The sequence below is a fragment of the Homo sapiens genome, chromosome 10 (genome assembly GCF_000001405.40).
Source record: "Homo sapiens chromosome 10, GRCh38.p14 Primary Assembly".
Lineage (NCBI taxonomy): Eukaryota > Metazoa > Chordata > Mammalia > Primates > Hominidae > Homo > Homo sapiens.
Window position 1 is genome coordinate 90903843 of NC_000010.11, and position 23521 is coordinate 90927363.

The following is a 23521-nucleotide window of genomic DNA, read 5'->3' on the forward strand; positions in this document are numbered from 1 at the left end:
ATGTGTAGGGCCTCTATAAAGAAAACTTAATGAAAGTAATAAGAGAATAAAGGGAAAATAAAGACTAGAATACATGGAAAGAGACATTCTGTTTTCTTGAATAAGACAAATTGTAAATCAAATTCTCCCCCAAATTACGCATTTAACAAAATTTAAAATCAAAATGCTTATAAGTATTTTTTGTTTTCTTGTTTATGTATTTGGTCTTTGGACTTGGTATTCTGAAAGAGTAAATATGAGAATTGGAAATTTCAGGAAAAAACCTAATGGGAGGGACTTACAATGCTGAATATTACAGAGTATAACAAAACTCTAGTACTGTAATTAAAACTAATTGGTGCAGAAATTCAGAACAGTGAAAAGAGCAGGAAGTCCAAGATCATACTTTAGATATAAGAAGAAATGATGGATTGATTGTTCAGTAAGTGATACTGAAATAATTGGTTATCTATTTGGGAGAGGCAGTACAGCATACCAGTTAAGTGCATAGGGGAAAGAAAAACTAAATGCATTTAAAGCCCTACTTGCTAGTACTCATTAGCTATGACCTTGGGCAAATTATGTAACCTCTCTGTGCCTCGCTTCATCTGTTCTCCCTACCTGTCACATTATTGCAAGGATTAAGTAGGTTAGTATTTGTGGAAGGCTTACTTTGAACAGGGCCTGTCATATAAAATGTACCAACTACAGCCGGGTGCCATGGCTTACACTTGTAATCCCAGCCCTTCAGGAGGCCAAGGAGGGCGGATAACTTGAGGTCAGGAGTTCAAGACCAGCCTGGCCAACATGGCAAAACCCCGTCTCTACTAAAAATACAAAATCAGCCAGGCATGGTGGCCCATGACTGTAATCCCTGCTACTCGGGAGGCTGAGGCAGGAAAATTGCTTGAACCCGGGAGGTAGAGGTTGCACTGAGCTGAGATCGCACCACTGCATTCCAGTCTGGGCGACAGAATGAGACTCTGTCTAAAAAAAAGAAAGTACCAACTATTTTATTATTTATTACTTCATTATATTAATTTAAATATTGAAGTGTCAGCTATCATTTAGGAAAAAACTAAGTCAAATCTCTATCTCACACCCAATACACACCCATAGTAAATCCAGGTAGATTAAAGATTTAAATTTTTTAACAAACTTGTAAAATACTAGAGGAAAATGTAAGTTAATTAAAAAAATAATAATCTTGGATTGCAATAGACCTGCCGAGCATGGTCATCAAAGCCAGAAAACAAAGTTTGATTGATTTGTCTCTACATAACAACAAGTAGGAAAGTACATTTACAATACATATTCCAGGAAGGTTTCATATGCTTAGCTTTTAAGAATTTTTTTTTTTTAAATACCCAACATGACATGCTGTTAGCATCCATAGAGATCCCCATTCCCAGGGTGGTGTACCTATATTGCCAGTGCTTCAGATGTTGGGTACTAATGACTTATCTTCACCCTTTTCCAGAGGATTGTCCTGGGCTGATGAGAGTCACTTTACCTGAAGATACCTGGGAAGTTTTGTCTCCTCTGAGGTTGGCCCATGGCCAGTGACTGATGCAGGACATTACAGCCTGGCCCACTGGCCTCGGTGGTACAATTTATGCTCCTGAGCACCCCATGGGATTACGCTGTGTGTGGATTTCTCCTGAAACCACATATTTGCCTCTTCTGCCCTGTTCTGTTTTTTCTCATTCCCTTATAGAGGACTCTCAGTAAGTCACTTACACAAGAATCCTAATTTGAAATGCTGCTTCCAGGAGACCTGACTTAGAAAATTGGACAAATAAAGTTGATTTTTTTAAATGTCCAGTAACATGAAGATGCTGAACTTTCCTAGTCATTTAGGGGGAAATCACCACAAATATATCTGGCTGATCAGGTTGAAAGTTAAAAGAAAAAAAGATTTATAAAGTGGGTATTTTCAAGATGGTGTGGAGGGAGATACAATTTGATGCAAGTCTTATACTTTTGATGTCAATTTATTCTTCAGAAATAACTGGTTAATTATAAAGGGTGGATGGATAAGGATATTCACTGCAACAATGTCTTAAATGTGAAAATGGAAACAACCTAAATACCCAATAATAACAGGATTAAATAATTCATTGTACATTAAAAGAATACTGTCTATAAAGATGTCTAGAATAAGTTGTTCAGTTGAAGTTGTAAAGCTAAATACACAATACCCATAATGTGCACAGAAATAATCAGAATGTCATGAAACCAGGATTATTGGTGATGTGTTGCTTCCTTTGTTACTCATTTCTGTATTGGCATAATGAGTATTGGGTGTTCAAGAGGAGGGGGAAGGAAGTATGACAGATGTTATGGGGAAAAAGCAAAGTACAACAGGAAGACACCTTGGGGGAACTAATAGAATCTAAGGACTCAAGGATGGCTTCCTGGAGGAAATACAGCTAGAACAAAGGGGAGGAATGAGAAGTGATGTGATGGCGTGGAGTGGGCTGTAGTGGGAAGAAGAGTCTTCCAGGGAGCTGGCACAGTATGTGAAAACAGTAAAGCAAGTGCCTGGATTTTTTAAGGAACTGAAAATTTAGTTGAGTTGAAATTTAGAGTTTGGCTAGGAAGGTTATGAGAGATAAGAATAAAGAGTTAACAGCAGCCAGATTTTAAGGATTTTATAAGACATTTTTAGGAGTTTTTATTTCATCCTGAGAGAAATGTGAAGCCATCGAAGGGTTGAAAGAGGAGAGTGAGTTGATCAGCATTGCATTTTAGAAAAATCCCTCTATCTGCAACTTGAAAAACATTCTGGAGGTAAGCAAGCCTGGAGGCCAGGAGCCTAGGAGGGCTATTTGATCCAGATGAGAAGTAATGGTGACCTGAACTAGGGCAGAGGCACCTAGGATTGGAAAACATGGACAGATCACAGCACTACTTATGTAGTATACTTGGTAAGACCTGGTTGTTTAAAAGAGAAGGATGAGGGAAAGAAGGTCAAAAACAACTTCTAGGACTCTCCATTGGCCAGTGTGGTGTGCCCTTCACTGAAGAGCAAACACAAAATGAAAGATTGTGGGCAAAGAGTTGAGTCAGTGAGAAGGCAAGGAGAGAACCTTATAAAAAAATTGACTATGTGATTAAAAACTTAAAAATTTCCCCCAACGTGTTTATCTTTTCCATTAGCAGAAATAACTAAGAGTTGTCTTAATTCTAATGGGATTTATTCCATATTGTCTCTCATGCCCTCTACCTAGTTATTAGTGCAAATATTTATATGTGGCAACATAAAACTTTTTAACTCTTTATTCTCTTCTCTCGTGTACCCTCCCAGCTCTTTAGGGGAGGTGGATTTGAGGCAGATACCATAAAGAAAAGTTGGTCACATGGTGGTAACACGTTGAAGTTATGCCACATGAGACATCAGCACTGGCAAGAGAAATGTCTGTGTTGTAGATGTTTCACTTGGAAGAAATTGAAGGACCCTGAGCCTTAAAAGTCTGACAAACTTAAGCCAGGACCCCTGTGGGGAAGGTAGAGGGGCCAACAAACAAGATTGGGAGTCAGAGAGATAACAATGAAATCCCCAATGCCTGTGGGAGGTGGACTCCCTGGATTAGTACTAGACAGAAAAGGTACAAAAATATTTCAAACCATTCTCACAACTCTATATGTGTCTATGACCAGATAACTGGAAGACCTTCTGGTTATGGACTATGCGTATACACTCTCCCAGATAGTTAGAGGCATATCTAAGAGGTTAACATATATGATCTTATCCAAAATGGGTCTCTTGGTGCTAGTGTTTTACATCAGACTTCACTGGCTTTCATGTATTTCCACAAGTGCCAAACATTTCTCATATCCTTGCTGTATTCCATAGAGCAGTGTTCCTGCTACCTGGAACACTTGATTCTTGAATAACTCCTGTTTACCTTTCAGACAAACCCTAAAGGTTACCACCTCAAAGAAGTCTTTATAGAAGCCTCATCATCTTAGACACTCTGTATTGTTTCCTTCATCGTATTTACAACAGACAGATACTGTGCACTTACTGCCTCACTTAACGACAGGGATACGTTCTGAAAGGTGCATCATTAGGCGGTTTTGTTGTGTGAACATCACAGAGTGTTACTTACACAAACCTAAATGATACAGCCTACTAAACACCTAGGCTATATGAGCAATACAGCCTATTGCTCTTAGGCTTCAAACTTGTACGACATGTCACTGTACTGAATACTGTAGGCAACTATAACACAGTGGTAAGTATATTGTGTATCTAAACAAACATAGAAAAGGTAATGCACTGTACTATGATGTTACAACAGCTAGGATGTTGCTATCAATAGAAATTTTTCAGCTTCATTTTATTTTTATGGGACCACCTTTGTATATGTGGTTCATTGTTGGCCGAAACACCATTCTGTGGCACATGACTATGTATTTATTCCTCATTATTCCTTTAATATTCATCTCTTCCAGGAGGGCATGTCATGGACAATCTCTTTTTCTTACCACAGGTCTTAGGACCTGGCCTAGCACCTGGCCAAGAACTACTGGCATACCTCCTTTTATTGTGCTTCAATTTATTGTGCTTTGCAAATACTGAATTTTTTACAAGTTGAAGATTTGTGGCACCTCTGTAACCAGCAAGTCTATTGGTGCCATTTTTTCAACATCATGTGCCTGTTTCCTGTCTCGCTCATGTCACATTTTGGTAATTTTCACAATATTAAAAACTTTTTCATTATTATTATATGTGTTTTGTTGGTTAGTGTTCTTTGATTTTACTATTATAACTGTTTTAGGTAGCCACAAATTGCACTCATATCGGACAGTGAACTTAATCCATGAATGTTGTGTGTGTTCTGACTCCTCCATCGACCAGCTTTCCCCATTTCCTTCCCTCTCTTCAGGCCTCCCCATTCCTTGAAACAAAACAATATTGAAATTAGGCCAATTAATAACCCTACAATGGCCTCTAAGTGTTCAAGTGAAAGGAAGAACCACACATCTCTCTCAATCAAAAGCTAGGAATGATTAAGCTTATTGAGAAAGGCATGTAGAAAGCCAAGATAGGCTGAAAACTATGCCTCTCACTCAAGTTGTGAATGCAAAGGAAAAGTTCTTGAAGGAAATTAAAGGTGCTTCTCCAGTGAACACACAAATGATAAAGCAAAACAGCTCTATTGCTGAATGGAGAAAGTTTTTGTGGTCTGGATAGAACACCAAACCAGTTACAATAATGCCTTAATCCAAAGCCTAATCCAGAGGCCCTAACTCTTCAATGCTATGAATGCTGAGAAGTGAGGAAGCTGCTGAAAACAGTTGGAGAACTGCAGCGGAAGTTGGTTCATAAGATTTGAGGAAAGAAGCCATCTCTGTAACATAAAAGTGCAAGGTGAAGCACAAGTGCTGATAGAAGAAAGAAGCTGCAGCGAGTTATCCAGAAGATCTAGCTAAGATAACTGATTAACATGGCTACACTGAGCAACAGATTTTCAATGTAGATGAAACAGCCTTCTATTGGAAGATGCCATGTAGGACTTTGATAGCTAGAGAGGAGAAGTCAATGCCTGGCTTCAAAGCTTCAAAGCTTTGACTCCCTTGTTAGCTGGTGATTTTAAGTTGAAACCAATGCTCATTGACCATTCTGAAAATCCTAGGGTTGTTAAGAATTATGCTAAATCTACTTTGCCTGTGCTCTATAAATTGTACCACAAATCCTTGATGATAGCACATCTTTTTACATCATAGTTTATTGAATATTTTAAGCCCATCATTGAAACCTACTGTTCAGGAAAAAAAAATATTCCTTTCACAACATTACTGCTAATTGAAAATGCACCTGGTCACCCAAGACTGATGGAGACGTGCATCTGATGAGGATGTACAAGGAGATGAATGTTATTCTCATACCTGCTTACACAACATCCATTCTGTAGCCCATGGATCAAGGAGTCATTTTGAATCAAGTCTTATTAAGAAACACATTTCATAAGGCTATATGCCGTAGATAACGATTCCTTTGATGGATCTGGGCAAAATAAATTCAAAACCTTCTGGAAAGGATTCACCATGCTAGATGCCATTAAGAACATTCGTGGGTCATTGGAGGAGGTAAAAATATCATTAACTGGAATTTGAAAGAAGTTAATTCCAACCTGTGTGAATGACTTGGAGGGGTTCAAGACTTCGGTGGAGTAAGTAACTGTTGATGTGGTGGAAATAGCAAGAAAACTAAAAGTGGAGCCTGAACATGTGACTGAATTGTTGCAATCTTGTCATAAAACTTGAACAGCTGAGAAGTTGCTTCCTATGGATGAGCAAAGGAAGTGGTTTCTTGAGATGGAATCTACTCCTAGTGAAGATGCTGTAAACATTGTTGAAATGACAAAAAAAGGATTTTGAATATTACATCAACTTAGTTAATAAAGCAGTAACAGGGTTTGCGAGGATGTACTCCAATTTTGAAAGATGTTCTATTGATAGTAACATGCTATCAAATAGCATCAGATGCTACAGATAAATCTTTTATGAAAGAGTTAATTGATGTGGTAAGCTTATTGTTGTCTTCTTTCAATAAATTGACACAGCCATCCCAATCTTCATCAACTACCACCCTCATCAGTCAGCAGCCATCCACATGGAGGGAAGACCCTCCGCCATTAAAACGATTATGACTCACTGAAGGCTCAGATGATCATTAGCATTTTTTTTAGCAATAAAGTATTTTTAAGTTAAGGTAGGTACAGTGTTTTTTAGACATCGTGCTATAGCACAATTATTAAACCACAGGATAATGTAAACATAACTTTTGTATGCACTAGAAAACCAAAAAAAATTGTGACTCACTTTATTGTGATATTAGTTTTATTATGGTGGTCTGGAGGTCAAAAATCATGGACCTGTGTGTTCTCTCCTGGGAAGTCTTTGACATTGCCAGTCCCTGTCCACAAGAATTGTTAAATCTCCAGTTAATTTGCATTTTTCTAATGATCAGTGATATTGAGCTTTCTTTTCCAGATGTTTGTTGGCCACATGAATATCTTCTTTTGAGAAGTGTCTGTTCGTGTGCTTTGCCCACTTTTTTGATGGGGTTGTTTTTTCTTGTAAATTTAAGTTCCTTGTAGATTCTGGATGTTAGAGCTTTGTCAGATGGATGGAGTCTGAATGGCAGTTACTTAAAAAGTCAAGAAATAACAGATGCTGGCAAGGTTGCAGAAAAATAGGAACACTTTTACACTGTTGGTGGGAATGTAAATTAGTTCATCCATTGTGGAAAATGGTGTGGTGATTCCTCAAAGATCTAGAACCAGAAATACCATTTGACCTAGCAATCCCATTATTGGGTATGTACCCAAAGGAATATAAATCATTCTACTACAAAGATACATGCATGCATATGTTCATTGCAGCACTATTCACAATTGCAAAGACATGGAACCAACCCAAATGCCCATCAATAATAGACTGGATAAAGAAAATATGGTAGATATACACCATGGAATACAACGCAGCCATAAAAAGAATGAGATCATGTCCTTGGCAGGGGCATGGATGCAGCTAGAGGCCATTATTCTCAGCAAATTAACACAGGAGCGGAAAACCAAACACCGCATGTTCTCACTTATAGGTGGGAGCTGAACAATGAGAACACATGGACACAGGGAGGGGAACAAAATACACTGGGACCTGTATAGGGGGTGGGGTGGGAGGAAGGAGAGCATTACGAAAAATAGCTAATGCATGCTGGGCTTAATACCTAAGTGATGGGTTGATAGGTGCAGCAAACCACCATGGCACACGTTTATGTAACACCGCTGCACATCCTGCACATGTACCCCAGAACTTAAAATTTAAATTTAAAAAAGTCACTAGTTAAGCCTTAATGGGAACTTCGTAAGAAATGCGGGTTTACCATGCAGAAATCATTCTGACCACCAGGGGTCTCTTTCTACACACCACTGGGACTGAAAGCTCGCTAGAATTCCTTTGTGTCTTTATGGCTCTCGGCCTAGCTGCTCAGTGTGGTGGTGGCATTTCGTGGCCTGTCACCTGGGAGCTTGTCAGAAAAGCAGAATCTCAGGCCCCACCTGAGACCAGCTGAATCAGAAATCTGCATTTTAACCAGATCCCCAGGTGATCTGTATACATATTAAATACTGGGAGTGCTGTTGTACGGGACATTTCTAATCTGCAAAACTTGGAAAACAATGGAAAAAAAAAACCCTCCTATATAGCTTTTTTTTTCACATAGGACATTTCCACCACACTTATAGAAGGACTTAGAGGTTTAGAGTTTGATTGCCTTTATTATGAATATAAAATGTACATACAATACAATATACATTTATACATTTACAGTTTGCATTTCCTTTCATCTTTTTTGAGCAAATTCAATTCTGCATGTCCCAGTTTGCCGCTCCTTCCACTGATTTGCACTTACACTCATGACGTTCTCTTCACTTGGGTACTCTGTGTACTCGGTAAAAAAAAAAAAAAAAAAAAAAAAAAAAAATCCAGCCTGGGGGTAAAATAGCTGGCTTCACTGTCCTTTTCACAGAATCACTTTCCTTCCATTGTTTCCTTTCCTGTCCCTACATGCCTTCCCTTGCTTCATTCAAACTTCTGCATTAAAAATTCAGGAGAAAAGAGGGCTGTGATAATCAGCCCTCTCTTAAAAACTCTTACATGAGCGAATGACACATAAGTAGGCACTTGAACTTTGCTCTTTCACCTGGTTTAAGAACTACCTATGGGTGGGAAGGCTCTGAAAGTGTTATATACAAATGAAGCTCTGCTCACCAGATGGATGATCATGAAGGTCTGAATATCAGTAGCGTGGCAGTAAATAAATAAACAGGAATACATAAAAATAAATAAGAGTTTCACTAAAGGAAATTTAAACACCTATAACCCTGTGCTTTCTCAAAACTTCATTAGGTACATCTTCACAACACGTTGATAAATAGAAACTAGATTTTATGGCTAGTGTCTCTTCTCTTGGGCCATGCCTTCAAAATGCCAGTGAACATTTACTGATTAAGAGTCTGTCGTTTGCCTCAGAATGTAGCTATGCGAGAGGTCTTGTAGGAGTTCTCTCTGAGGCTGTCGAATATTGCTTTGGTTCCATTCTGCCAGTGTAGCACCAGATCCATCGGCGTCTTCCCAGCCTAATCAAATGAGATAAGGAAAGTTGACTTTCAGGTGGGTGACATCTGTAAATTCACATTCTCTGTGTGTGTTTCATGAGGTAAGGATTAGGTATATGTTATAACAGTGTTTTATGGTTTCCACCAGGAGTGATCTGCAGTTTATACTCAAACCAGTCCTTCACTGTTTCTCAGAGGGATGCTTTTGCCATTTTAGAGCAAAAATCTTTTTCACGTGGGACCATCCCAGGTATTGGTAAAATCCCTTGTCCCTAGACACTATGTGTCAAGAGCACCTCAAGTCATTTTGAAATTTATAAAATGTCTCCATACATCTTCCAGTATCCTGTGGAATGGACTCCCGGAGGTGGGAGCATGCCTCTTGGACCAAGAATCAGTGCCTATCCATTTGAATGATAGTTCTTTGATTGATAAGAAATGATGGTAAATGAGCTGCATCAATAACTTGGCTTAAGGACTTAGGTACTGCTTGGGTACTATTACTGTTCCTGGGAGCAGATTTTTCATAACTTGTCAGAATTTTCAATGGACTCTCCCAGGAAATGTATTTTTCTTGGAGTTGATGGCAATGACACATGTGAACAAATAATTTTTGAGACGAAATTTTGATTTCCCTTATGCACGTGTCTCAAGATTTAAAAATATTAAAACCATGTCATCTCTCAATTCTCATCTATAGATCTGAGAAGTCCAAAATTTTTCCATCTCTATTCATTGAGAAGTTTCTTTTTAACCCAGCGACTGCAAATTGGCAGCTTTGAGATGCAAACCAGAATAGAGACCTGTTTTGTTTTGACCCAAACAGAACTTAGATTTTTTTTAAGATTAGTATGAATTGGCAACAGTTGGAAACCAAGAGCTGGATTTGTGACTTCTATGAAAAAATCAGAAGAGTTAAAAACATGGTACCCATGGTTCCACAGAGCAACATAGACTGGGTTGGGGAAGGGCCACCTTTAAAAGAGTTATGTGCACAGACCCTGACAGCCACACATTGAAGTCACTTAGGCCATCTGCCCGGCACAGTGAGGTCAGTCTGCAGTCAGATTATGAGATCTGTAGGTATTTAAATTAGTGGCCCTATAACCTTCATTTTGGAACTTCCCCACCTCTGTAGTGTCTTTCTCTAGGAACAATCATCAGTAGACATGAATATACAGTTTTGGATAATGAGAAAATATTGTATGCTGCTCCCAATCTCCTTAAGATGGCATCAATAGGTTATTGATCTTTGGGGGAAACATCAATCCATTGGGTCAATGACATTAATAGTTCCATAAACCTGATGCTAATATCTAACTGATAATTCAGAACCCTAAGCCGTATTTGTATATTTTGGGCTACTCTTCCATAAATTCCTTGCACTTCTCTCCATTGAAATTTATATTGTGATTTTTCTGGCTACTTACACAGTCTCCCTAAACCTGTATGCTATTTGTCTCTGCTGGTAGTGTCTCACTGCCTGAAAAAAAATCTTCACATTTTCTGCAGCTTTCAAGATTTCATTTAACCTGCTCTTTTTCTGATAGTTTAAAAAAATATTAGATAGGATCAATTCCAATATCTAGACTGAGGAAGCCCTACTGTTAACACTTTCCCATCCCAAGCAATCTTCATTTATCACCATTCTTTGATCCTGTCACCAAGCCAGATTTGTTTTAAAAGATAAGATATTCCTCTCAGTCTTTGCAACACAAATAAGGGGAGAAAATTATTTGCATTTATATGATGACTGAGTTTCCCTCCCCCCCCCCCCACTCTTTTTTGTAAAGTGATTCTTCAAAAGCTTCTTTAAAATTATTTCTTCAGAAATTTATACCTGTTCCTCTGGGCAATATTTTTTAAGCTTATATTAGATGGTGTTTGTCTGGAAATTGAGACCATGAGGAAAAGTTGGTTATGTTCCCTGCTTACAGATGAAGTTAAATTAATATGTACTTATACAAGAATTTTCAGGGCCTAAATATAGGAAATTATTTTGAGAGATGTGAAGACAAATCCAAGTGGAGAATGGATAGAAATTATCTGAAAAAAAATACAGGCAAAAGCACAGCTACCCCTGGAAGAAAATGGTGACATTTCACATTGCTGTAAGGAGGAAAGGGACTTTCTGAATTACTCAGATTGGATATTGATTAACCTTAGTTCACTGGCTGCACTGACCCTTGTGGAATTTTAGGACATTTTGGAAATGGTGGATGCCTTTATTTCTAACTTCCTCAGCCCTTGCACAGACAGAAATGGCCAAAGCAGATTGGACTTCTAGGTGTTTGTGGGGATGAGCAAATTTTGACTATCTTTCATTTCCAAGACCAAATTGTAAAAGAATTACTATGCACTGTATCAGGCACTGAGGTCATAGCAGTATCTATGACTTCCCTCATCTCTGGCCATGTGAACTGGGTCCTAGCCAAGATAAACACTGTCCTTGGGGAAATGGGCAGGGGCATTTAGACCATCGAAGACCCCTCAAATACTGCCATTGTGGGAGTCGTTTCACCTATTTAAGAAATGCTCCTGGAAATTGGAAAGCTTGCAAGCGGTGTTTCTTGTTTCCAGTACTTACACAGTTCTTGATGTTGAGATCCGCGCCATACATAATCAGGAGTCGGATCATCTTATAGCGGTTCAGTCTCACCGCATCATGCAACGGGGTATCTCCTTCCTAGAGAAGCAGAGTCAACAGGTTCAAGGTGGGTCTGAGGCCAGGAAGTGGGTCCTGCAAGGGCACCCAGGCTTGGGGGAGTGATTCCAAATACAAAAGCAATGAAGCTTTGGGAAACCCGAGCGTGTCCAGCTACTCACTCTGTCTTTGGCGTTGAGGTCTGCCTCACAGGCGATAAGATGCTCCGCGCACTCATAGTGGCCAGTCCTCACCGCCACATGCAGCGCTGTGCTGAGCAACTGGAAAATTGGAAAACGCTGCTGATTCGCTAGGAATGAGGACAGAGGCTGTCCCAGACCCCAAGACATGTGCGAGGGGGAGAAGTGGTCACTAGGGTGCCTGCACACAGCATGGGCCTCCAGATGACTTTAATGGAGAGGCGAGGTTAGGAGATGGAGGGGTGGGGGAGGAGGGAAGGGCGGGTGGGGGAGAAGGAGGAGGGGGAGGGGGAAGAGTGGGAGAAGTGGAGAAGGATGGGGGACAGGGAGGGGGAGGGGGTGAATGAAGGGAGAAGGAGAAGAAGGAATACCTTATCTCGGGCGCTAATTTTTGCTCCTTTATTCAGCAACAATTTTAAAACATCCAGGTTTCCTCCACGGCTTGCCCAGTGGATGGCTGTGGATTCAAGCTATACCGGGAGGGAAGACCCGACAATGTGAAGGAGAATGTGGTCTGGGGAATTAGAACCTGGTTGCTAGGGCATCCGTGAAAATAATGAGTTGTCCCCATCTAGATTGACAATTCTAACTGGAGTCGAAGGTTCTTACCAAATGTGTTAGCTAAATTACATGTGTGTGTGTGTGTGTGTGCATATGTGTGTCTTATTAGGAGGCTCTTAATAAATCTAATAATGTTTTAAAAGAATAAGAATGGCCACTTATTGAGACATTTCTCATGCCAACATGGTGCTACACTTTAGACACCTTGATTCTTCCAGCAACATTTTGAGGTAGGTGTTGCTATGCACATTTTGCAGATAAGAAAAACCAGGTTCCAAAAAGTTCAAGTTTCTAGCCCAAGGAAACACAACTAATAAGAGGCAGAATACACAGTCAAACTCCCCTCTGCCTGGAACTTCTAACTTCTTTTGTCAAATGTACACAAAAGTTCTAAACACATGTATTTAAAAATTTTGGCAGAATAAAAGTAGTCCCTTCCAAAATATTTTAATCTGGATCTGACACCTCATCTAGGGTCCCTGTCGCTCTTTCTCTACTTCTGTGGGTTTTCTGCTCATTTTTGCTAGCACAGCCTCTGTACCTCAACTGTAGTCACTTGTGTCTACAGTTGTAACGTGTATAGTTACCCCTAGGAGACCCTCTCCTCACTGATCTATGTGGTTGGTATGCCCCTGGCCTTAATCCCACACTCATGATTTTTAGTTTCCATGCAAACTTCATATTTTGTTTCTTGATTTTTTTTTCAATGTGTTTATGTTTTGGATTCAATTTTGGCCAAGTCCCTTGGATTTCTTTGATATCCCGTTGCCGCTTTGCTATAAAGTCAAAATGAGCTGCATTTAAATACATAAAGAATTTTCCCAGCTCAATCTTCAGTTCATAAATTATGCTGCATACTGGTCTTCGTAGAAATCACAGTGATTGAATTATTGAGGTCTGAATAGCAGCTACTTTCCATAGATGCAATTCATTTCATATGCAGTCTAGCCCCAAATCTCATTGGTAGCAATTGGCATCTATCATATAAAGTGTGCAGCTAGAGAATTCGTATATGTTGCTGGCAGCCAACCATAAGCAGGCTGCCCTGTGAACAATGGAGGGACAAGGCTGTTGAAAGGCAAGTGTCGAAAATGAATGACTAACTCGCTGATGAGGATATTGAATTCAGTTTAACAGCTTTCACTTCCTTCTTTTCCCTGAAATATTCCTCTATTTTCAGTATGTATGGAAAATATTTTCACATGACCTACTCTCATCTCCCAACTTTCCTTTATTTGGAGAAATGAGCTTTTGCCTAGTTCTCTCAGATCAATTTTCAATCCAATCAGCTCGGTTTTGCATTGGAGGTTTTCCGGAGCTTCATATAGTCTACTTCTTTTGGCTCATTCCCAAGCAAAGAAATATATTTACCATATCACGGAATTCGATCTGGGCTCCAGCTTCCATTAACTTCTCCACAATTGCCAAATGTCCTTCCAAGCATGCTCTATGAAGAGCTGTCCGTTTATACTATCAGAACAGAGATTTTAAACAGAGATAGCAATAAATATAAAAATGTGTGTAAACCCTTTTAAGAGCTATGAAGCTGGAGATTCTGATGACCTAACTGATAGAAACTCAAGTGCTTCTTTATGAATAGAAATGTCAAAGTTAACTAAAATTGCAGAATCAGAACAATTATCCTGCAACTAATATTTGAGCTTCCTCCAATATACATTTCCAAGGGCTCAAAGGCCTACGTTGAGGAGTGTGAACTTAAAGGCTCAAAACTATCTAAATGCTGACATCTCCGTTTCTTCTATCTTGCACCTTCCTTGTTCATGTAGCATTACCATGCAGATCAGACAGCTTTCTTGCATCTGGGACTGTTGCTAGACTATCAAAAAGTTTCCATTCATTTTTAGGAGAATGGGAGACATGTTTTTAGTTCAACTTCAGAAGCGGTCCCCAATTTCACTTCATGGGGGAAAGAATACAAAAAGATTAGTGATTTCTGATAAATTGGCTTTATTTGAATGGGCTAATGAACTATTAGAGCTGGAACAACTTTAGGCGTTATTTCACTCCAATGCCCCATGTTTACAGATAAGGAAACCACAGCCCAGAGGATGCAAATTAGCTGCTCAAAACCAAATAGCCAAGTAGTGGTACAACTGGCCCCTGAACTCCAATCTCCAGATTTCTTATCTAGTGTTGACGTGCTTGGTTTTAATCAAAGATGATGCTAATAATATATCTCTAAAGGTGACTTTTTGGCCCACATTAAAAGTCTTATCCCAAGAATCTAAGAAGTTAAAGAAAAACTGAAAAATCAGCCAGATGTATATGAGTGCAAAAAACAATGCAATCCGTATCACTGATCTAATATCTATTTATTTTTTGGACCACTGAACTCTCCTATTAGGCTCCTGGCATACACAGCAACAGCTGGGGAAACTGTTTCAGGTGGAAGGACTTTGGCACTATATTAGCAAGACTGGAGTAAAGCATAAGAAACATAAAATTAATGAGCTGGATTTTGCAGTGCTTTGCATGAGTCTTACCTCATCACAAACATCTGGATTGTTCTTGTCTGACAAGAATTTTTCTACTACTGGCAGTTTATTCTCCAGAGCAGCCTTCAGAAACGTAGGCACATCCACAGGTTCCGTCTAAAGCCAAAATAAATAAATATATATATATATATATATATATAGCATGAGAGTTACCGTGAGCTTGCCAGCATTCAATCAAACCCTCCACAGATATTTGCTCCCCTGTAGCACAACACTGGACATGTATTACTGGAAACCAAAAAAAAAGCCCTTACAATGATTTCAGGTTCTGGTTCCTTTACAACTGGAACTTTAGTTTTCCTGTATTTTTTCCTTTTCTTCAGTTGAATGATTATTTCAAGGTCTTCTAAATTTTCAAGCTTTGATCTTTGTTCTAGTTTTTTCTTTTTGAGCTAAAAAAGAAATTCGTATTTCAAAAATATGGTGAGTTCTACTGACAAGCATTCTGGTTGTGTCTAAACTAAATCTGCAAGGTCTGAGATAAACATGTGAACAGTTTGAGCAAAAACATTTTTTAAAAATTATATAAATCTTTGACTTCATTTTAGGGATTTCTTATTCAGATATTTATCTGGGAGTCTAATTTTCAGCTAATTGCCATCATCTTTACTTCTGTTGCTTGTAGAATCAGCCCTTGACCAATTGAGGACACGATCTGGTCTCTAAGTGATGACTTTGTAATTAATGCCATAAGCAAGTCTTAGATTTTTAAAGGATTTTTAAAATTATGCTCAAAACTTGGTTTAATTTTTGAGCATGATAAAAAGAATCTAACAATAAATGTTAAGCTCTGAAATATCAATGTCATTCTCTTTCACTAAGCAGAGCCTTCTAAAACAGACTGTCCAGGGACCACAGCTAACTAAAGCAAATTTTATCTGTGTTAGTAATTAAGGAAAATTCACCCAGAAACACAGATTGTGTCAACACAGATAGCAGACAGTTAAACAATGATCTATGGACCACAGACCATGTTATTGAGAAAAAGAGATCTCCGTTGCTTGGGATTAACTACATGGTGTGTAACATCAGGAATTCACTGGACATGTGTATCTTTCAATCAAAACATGGTCACAGCACATTTATTCATTGATTCAGAATTCAGAGGTCATAGTCTTGTCAAAGAGTTATTTCCCAAAACCTGTTCCATACAAGTTGCCTCTTTACGGGTTAGAATCTGGTAAAGAGACATCTTAATGATTGGGTTTGTTTCTCTCTTCTCCTTCCCTGACATTTCCATTCCCTACCCCAGCCCCAACATCCTACTAGTGGATTCCACAGATGGCTCTCACCTCTGCCTCTCGTTGTTTCTCGCTTTTCCACTGTTGCTCCCCCAGGGTCACAGGGTGGGCTAGAAGTGTCTTCAGATCCTCCTGCTTCTCTAAAGTAACAGCAGCTTCATACTCTCCATCTCTGAAATCCTCAGGAAGGAATTCCCCTGCCTCCCCATTGCCATTCTTCTTTCCAGTGACCTATGAGGGAAGAAGATGGCAGCGTCAGAAGCAGCAGCCTCGTCCTGGGTCATTCTTCACAGACAATGCCGCAGGAGGCTCTTGGTCCTTCTCCCCTGGGAACAGCCACCTTTGAGCAGTGCACTCTCAGATCTCAAGCTGCGATGCACACTGCTACAATTGTCCCAGAATTACCTTCAGATGCTTGTCCTACTCTCTTGGTTAAATCAAAGCTTGGGTTAGGTTGACAGATTAAATCTACTTTTAATCTGCTTAATCACATTTCTTTTAGGAAAATCAAAAACCTTCTCTGCTTAATTAAAACTCAACTTTAGGTACTTTTGATGAGTTTCGCCTTATTGTAAAGTTTCCGGGCTTACATTCTTTCAATAACACTTCTTCCCTAAGACATTTTGATAACTACACGTGATTCCACACTGTAGTAATAAAACCAAAGGAGAAGATATTAAATAGGAAATATGCAGAGAATTCATTACTGGTAGCTCCATTTTTTTTTTCCAATTTCACTTGTTTCATCACATCAACCTTTTTCCATATATGACATTTTCAGAGTTCCCTTGCATTACACCTGAAAGCAAAGGGCATTTCAATTTTCAAATAAAAACCAAGATGAACCAGTTTTCATTTTATAAAATTAATGCATCTTACATACCAGTTCCTCTACTTTCAGTACCATCATGTTGGCTGAAGGAGTCTTGTATGTTTTTCTGTCGTGGAAGGAATCCCTGGAGTTGGCCCTGCTGGGCCCCTCCACACCGGTCAGCTTATATAGCTGGGGCCGGGTGAGATAATCTTCCAACCTGGGAACCGAAGTAACACTCCCACCCCCATTAGGAGCCAACTCAGAGGCAGGTGAATTTTCATTCCAGACTCAGTGTCTGGGAAGCTGAAGAGGGAGGGGAGGACAAGCTAACCCTGCTGAATATGTGAATCAGGAAGAAATGTGAGAGGGCCATTCCTTTGGTGGTGATCACATCGCTCAGCAATGCAAGTCATCCTATTTGTCAAGAGTCAGGGGACAGCTGTCTGTTGACATTGCACCACATCACTGCCCTTTTTTTCTTTGTCAGCTTTCATATGACTACCTATCAAGAAAATGTAGATGCCCTACATATCACACCCCCAGTAATATCTTTCTGATAAGCAGACTTATCAACACTTCACTTAGGGGAAACTTGTCCCAGGACATCCTATTCCCTGGGTAAACAGCCTGAGGGGAAGGGATCTGGGCCCTAAAGGCACTTGTCTATATCTGTTTGGAATTCTTTGGAGTGATGTCTGGGGCTAAATAGGCCCCATGACATGCCACCTTACCATCATTATAAGAAATTGAAAGCATTCAGTAATGCACTTTTCTTTTATGATGTCACTGGCCATAATTAGCACATGACATGCTTACCGTGTTCTAAAACAGCATAATAATTGGAGCATTTTTACTTCAAAATGGATCAGAGTGGTCAAGAAATAGAGTAAATGAAACCAGCTATCAGCCGGGTGCAGTGGCTTACACCTGTAATCCCAACATTTTGGGAGGCAGAGACAGGAAGATTGCTTAGCTTAGGAGTTCAATACTAGCCTGGGCAACATGGCAAAATCCCATCTCTACCAAAAATACTATATATATATATGAAAAAAATGAGACCAGTTATTAGCAATGGCAGGACTCTGATTAGGTCATTGAGCTGAAGTTCTCAAATGCTGTGGGGAAAGGAATCACCTGTGGGAGCTTGTCAGAAATACAGATCCCTGGGCCCCACTCCAGGGAATTCTGAGTTGATTTATGGTAACTCGTAGGAATCATCTTGAATTTCAAAGCACCCAGATGATTCTGATGCATCAAGATTTGAGACACGTGGCTGGAGGGATAATGCACTTTGCTTCCGGAAGGGTTGAAAAAGGTCTCTATTTCTGGTTTCTAATCTTTGAGGTGTAAATTATGTAAAAATACTGGGGTCTTTTTATAGTTTCAGGAAAAACTGGGTTTTTTTCAGTAAAAGAAAGGAGAGAAGAATGGGAGAAGGGAATTGTGAATGGAGGGAAGTGTTAATTAGGAAGTTATGTTTGACCTTTGTGTGTCTATTTCTCCCCAAACTCACCCAATCAACAAATGTGGCTGCCATTCTCCTCTTCCCCCTTGAATGCTCAGTCAGTGGATGGTGTTTCTGAAACTTTGAGAAGACATCGACTCCCCACCCCAAGACAAAACATTGACAAAGAGGGACCCTCCCAGTACCTCCTGTATCATATGTTCCGGTCTCCTAATATTCTATCTTAAAAGGGGGTTAATTAAAGGAAATCTCCTGGGCTTTTCTTTGAGATGGACACAGCTATCACTATTTTCTTTTTAATTTTTTCCTTTTCTCTTTATTATTTATTTATTTTTAATATATGGAATGTTTCACAAATTTGTGTGTCATTCTTGCACAGAGTCCATGCTAATCTTCTTTGTATAGCTCCTATTTTAGTATATGTCCTGCTGAAGCAAACAGAGTCATTACTATTTTCATTGGTCTCTTCATCTAAGTCAGAAGTAGTCATGGACACTTTTTCTACCATTTCGTATGCCTTTTTGTTCCAGGCCTGACCCAAACTGAGGGAGGTATTAGGAGGAGAAGTGTTTGGGGGAAGGACTGTGGGATGTTTAAGGGTCTTGGATATGAAATCCCAGAGCTGTCCATGCCCTCGAAGTTGGAGCAAGACTAATGCTCTCATTTTACAGAGAGGATGCTGAGGCAAAGAAACATTAAGTAACTTGCTGCAGATGCACAGCTAGTTGGTGAATGCTAGGTTGAAGAGTCCTGATTCCATCCAACAGAAGCAGACAATCATTGAGCCCAAAAGATTTCCTAGGGCAAGTCTCACCTAGACCCACTCAGGATGCAACCAAAACTGATTAAATGGCTCCTTACTGTTTCAATCACCTCAAAGAATGCAAGTGAAAGTGGGCAGGGAGGCTTACCAAGCCCTTTTCTTTCTCCAGGCATTTAATTATCCCTTGAAACCTAGCTGATTCTATAGAGAGGCTCCAGGAAGTCTTGAAGAAAACTTTGCAGAGGATGACACTTGAAGATGAGTTGATGGAATGGGCTGAACTTAAAGGAGCACGCTGGTGGATGCAAGGATGTCAGGGCTGGTGAAATCACTGCCAGTTCAACCTTTTCCCATGTTGATCCAGCTTGTCATTATAAAACATGAGAGGTACAACTTGAGGATAAGTGGTCAGAAGATGTAAAAAGAATATGACAACAAATAAAGAAAAAAAACATGAGAGAATCTGCTTTTTGAAAAGAGATTCTAGGCACCTTTAGCTCTCTAAAAAGATAAAAACAACAACCATTGTATTTTCAAATCGTTCTTATTCATCAAAATTGAGAAAAAAATTCCCCTGGCGGAGAGTTTTCTGTCATTTGTTTTTCAGAAGCATCCTTCCCATAAAAGTTCACCCAGTGGTGTAAATTCTTATATTTGTGTATTTGGCTTTATCATAGCCTCAATCTGGACATAATCTATCCTTACTAAGATGAATTAAAACAATAAAGGTCCTAGTTGGTTCTACAATCATAAAGCAACTTGGCATCACCCATCTCCAACCAGAAAGAGTAAAGGAAGCATCCCTGAGCTTCTCCAGTGTCACCCCATGAGCCTTTTCCCACTCCCCTCAGGATTTATGCATTTCCATGGGTGAAATGACATGTGACTAGAATTAGGACCATGGTTATAGCTGGAGAAAGTGAGAAGCAGAGAAGTAGCACCTAAAGCAATTACTGCTGTCACCTAGGGATTAAAAGAGGCGCTTGGACCCCACCCAGATCCATGTGCCATAGCTCAGCTCCAAGTCCAAGGGCAGTTTTATCTTTCTGTATAAAATATGAAGTTCCAGACGTTCTACTTCTACTCCAACTTTTCATTCTTATATTTTAACTATATAATAGACACATTATTGTTAAAAATAGCACAGAGAATGTTATTTAGTTCAGATCTTACTGTCGATTTGATACTTGATTATTTTTCGCTCAGTAACCGTGTCTTACAGATTGTCTCCTATCTGCACAAACAAATCTATCTTGCTATTAGAAACAACTGCATGAATTTCCATGCACGGACCTACCATTTCTTATTTAACCACTTTCTCATTTGTGGACATGTAGGCTGTTTTTTTAAAATGGGCATTTTTATTTTCTAAAAAGGCATTTTATAGCACATAAAATTTTATTGTTATTAACACTCCTTGTCCTTAGAACACCCAACTTGATACTAAAAGGAAGTGCTCCAAGGACTGTAGCCAGATTCTGACTTGGAAACCTCCTTGTTCCACTGTTGTACTTACAATTGCTCATTTTGCCATCCCTTTTAATAGCCTTCCCAGTCCCAGCTGTTACGCACCTTCCTTGGCCCAGAGAAGTGGCTGACTTAGCCTGACCAGCAAGCCATGGCTCAGTTACGTGTTTGAAAATGCCAAAGGAAGGTCATAAAAGTGAAGCAAATAAGGTTTAATGTTGTTTCCCCTCCCCTGCCAGGAATGGGATAACCTGTATTTGAAAAGCAGAAAAGTACTGGAAACATTTTCAGCAGGATTGTGGCACCTGCCTTCCTTGCCTCTCGAAAGGCAGAATCAAGACTAAAGTCCTTCTGCCCAGGACTCTGGATAGAAAGGGCACAAACTGCCCTAACACAGTTGGGCTGCCCACAGTAGGTTACTTTTTACGGATATCGGTGGCCTCCTGACGTTAGAGGTAGGTGAAGGCTGTAGGTCTCACCTCCACACCTTACAGCAGGTGCCTTGTTACAGTAAATAAGGTATCTCAGTGCAAATTCTGCCACACATATGAACTCACACCAGCCAACAGGCACAAAGGGCCACATGCACTATTCAGTAAACTCATGAAGCCCAGCCCTTTGTCCATTTAGGCCCTTGGACAGTGTCCAGCACAAAAGATTCGCTTGACTAGGCATGGTGGCTCATGCCTGTAACCTCAGCACTTTGCGAGGCCAAGGCAGGAGGATCACTTGACCCTAGGAGTTCGAGACCAGCCTAGACAACATAGCGAGATCCTGGCTCTATGTTTTTTTATTTAAAAAAAAATAAAAGAAAAAGTTTCACTTGAAGCAAATGAAACCACAACCACATTCTGGCAGCATATTTCAGCTAATTTTCTAGTCCACTCAAGGTGATTACAGACTCCTCCACATATGGCCTAACACAAGATAGGATGGAGTCCTAGCACTCACTATAAGCCTAGGACTCCAACTGCATAGAAAAGTGCCTGACACATAGTGGGGCTAAATAAATATTTACCTGAGACCCAGCAGGGCTCATATTCTTTTCTAACCAAACCACATATTTCAAATTCTCCTTTCAATGAGAAATAATTGGTAACATTTCTCATGCTAATTAACCATTAATCTGTCAATACTATCAAAGGTAAAGATAGGTAAAGTACTTGGGATTACCTCCACTGGAGTGGGGGCAGCTCATTAGTGTCTTTCAAATGCTAACTAACCCCAACAGTTGTAATCGCAGAGTCAGGGCTTCTCAGGTGTGAACTAACATTTCTTCAAGCAGTGATTCTCTAAGCTGGGTGCATCTTAGAATCCTCTGTGAAGCTTCTAAAAAAATGCTGATGCCCAGGCTTCAGCTCAGGCACATGAAATCCAAATCTCTGCTCAAAGATCCAAGGAATTGGTATTTTTTAAAGTTTTCCAGTTGATTCTAATTTCCTCCCAGCATTGAGAATACTGCTCGAGGGTGTAGAATTAAATGAATATGTATCTAAATACACGTGTATTTTCTCCAAGTTGTAGTGGACAGTCAAGCTATTGTTATTCTGGTCTCAGAATTTTGATTGTTGAAGACTCTTGCCTATGCTAAGACCATGGGAAACACACACATACAATTTACTCATTTATTTTTTATTTTATTTTATTTTATTTTATTTTATTTTATTTTATTTTATTGTTTTGAGACAGAGGCTTGCTCTGTTGTCCAGGCTGGAGTACGGTGGCACGATCTTGGCTCACTGCAACCTCTGTCTCACGGGTTCAAGCAATTCTCTTGCCTCAGCCTCCTGAGCAGCTGGGACTACAGGTGCATGCCACCATGCCCAGCTAATTTTTGTATTTTTGGTAGAGATGTGGTTTTGCCATGTTGGCCAGGCTGGTCTTGAACTCCTGGCCTCAAGTGATCCTCCCGCCTTGACCTCCCAAAGTGCTGGGATCACAGGCATGAGCCACTGTGCCTGGCCTACTCATTTAATATTTATTTAGCTCTACTTTGTGTCAGGCATTTTTCTAGAGCTGAGATATACTTATGCTCTCAAGAGACACACGACTCTGCCCTCACGGCATTCACACAGTTTTACTGAAGTATTTAACAAAAACTACAGACAATATAACATGCTTCTTCTGCCACAAATCAAGAAGAGTGAGGCGAGACAGTAGTTTTGTGGGTCTGGTGGGGATGGGATGAAGAATCAGGAGGCTTACCTCTAAATCCTGGCTTTGCCCTGTGTTCACTGGAGCAAGTCCTCTCACCTCTTACCATCTCAAATCCTGAAGTTATAAAAGGAGAGCTGAGAACAAAATGATTTCTAGGGCCCTAAAGTTTTACTGAGGTCTCAAAGTCACTGAATCAAAAGGTAGAAATAAACATTCATAACTGCAGCATCACGTGCGGACAGTGAAGTTGATTCTCCAATGCCTCTAAAAGAGGAAACGGTCCATAAAGCTTTCACTAGCCCAGGATATTTCCACTATCTTTAAGACATTCTCCCACTTGATAAACATAAAAATTTCACACTCTCTGTTACATGGATAGAAATTTCAAGAAGATCAACTTGGGGTCAAGATGAAATAAAAGTAGTGGTAATTTTGATTATGCCTCTTCAAACCTTCTAAGACCGCAGAGATTTTTATAAGGCCTCATCCTCTTTCTTCCCCTTCTGAGAATCCCTGCCCAAGCTCTTGCCTAGGCTGACATCTGTCCCCATAGAAAAGGTAGTGATAAGTGTCCAGGAAG

The 23521-nt window shown here is 39.8% G+C and overlaps 2 protein-coding genes and 1 pseudogene across 2 annotated transcripts in view, besides 1 other annotated feature; 1 reads left to right on the forward strand and 2 right to left on the reverse strand.

The window, feature by feature from the left end:
• The window catches only part of RPP30 (ribonuclease P/MRP subunit p30), a 36583-nt gene extending 31869 nt beyond the window's left edge, over positions 1 to 4714 (forward strand). Inside the window, exon 14 of the mRNA NM_001104546.2 lies at positions 1460 to 4714. The gene's annotated coding sequence lies outside the window, so the exon portion shown is untranslated. The remainder of the gene's footprint in view (positions 1 to 1459) is intronic.
• Positions 8254 to 17245, reverse strand: ANKRD1 (ankyrin repeat domain 1). The gene is made up of 9 exons (NM_014391.3): positions 17159 to 17245; positions 16327 to 16506; positions 15289 to 15426; positions 15023 to 15130; positions 13890 to 13988; positions 12329 to 12427; positions 11940 to 12038; positions 11701 to 11799; positions 8254 to 9134 (listed from the first exon to the last, which is right to left on the reverse strand). The coding sequence occupies exons 1-9, from the start codon at positions 17183 to 17185 to the stop codon at positions 9024 to 9026; spliced, it is 960 nt and encodes a 319-aa protein (NP_055206.2). The 5' UTR covers positions 17186 to 17245; the 3' UTR covers positions 8254 to 9023.
• Positions 18889 to 18993, reverse strand: RNU6-740P (RNA, U6 small nuclear 740, pseudogene; annotated as a pseudogene).
• Positions 21448 to 22334: an enhancer, noted in NCBI's record as "OCT4-NANOG-H3K4me1 hESC enhancer chr10:92685047-92685933 (GRCh37/hg19 assembly coordinates)". NCBI's record gives its function as "activates a minimal SCP1, AML or CMV promoter by ChIP-STARR-seq in naive and primed H9 embryonic stem cells {active_cell/tissue: H9 hESC(naive and primed)}" and the evidence as "EXISTENCE:reporter gene assay evidence [ECO:0000049][PMID:30033119]".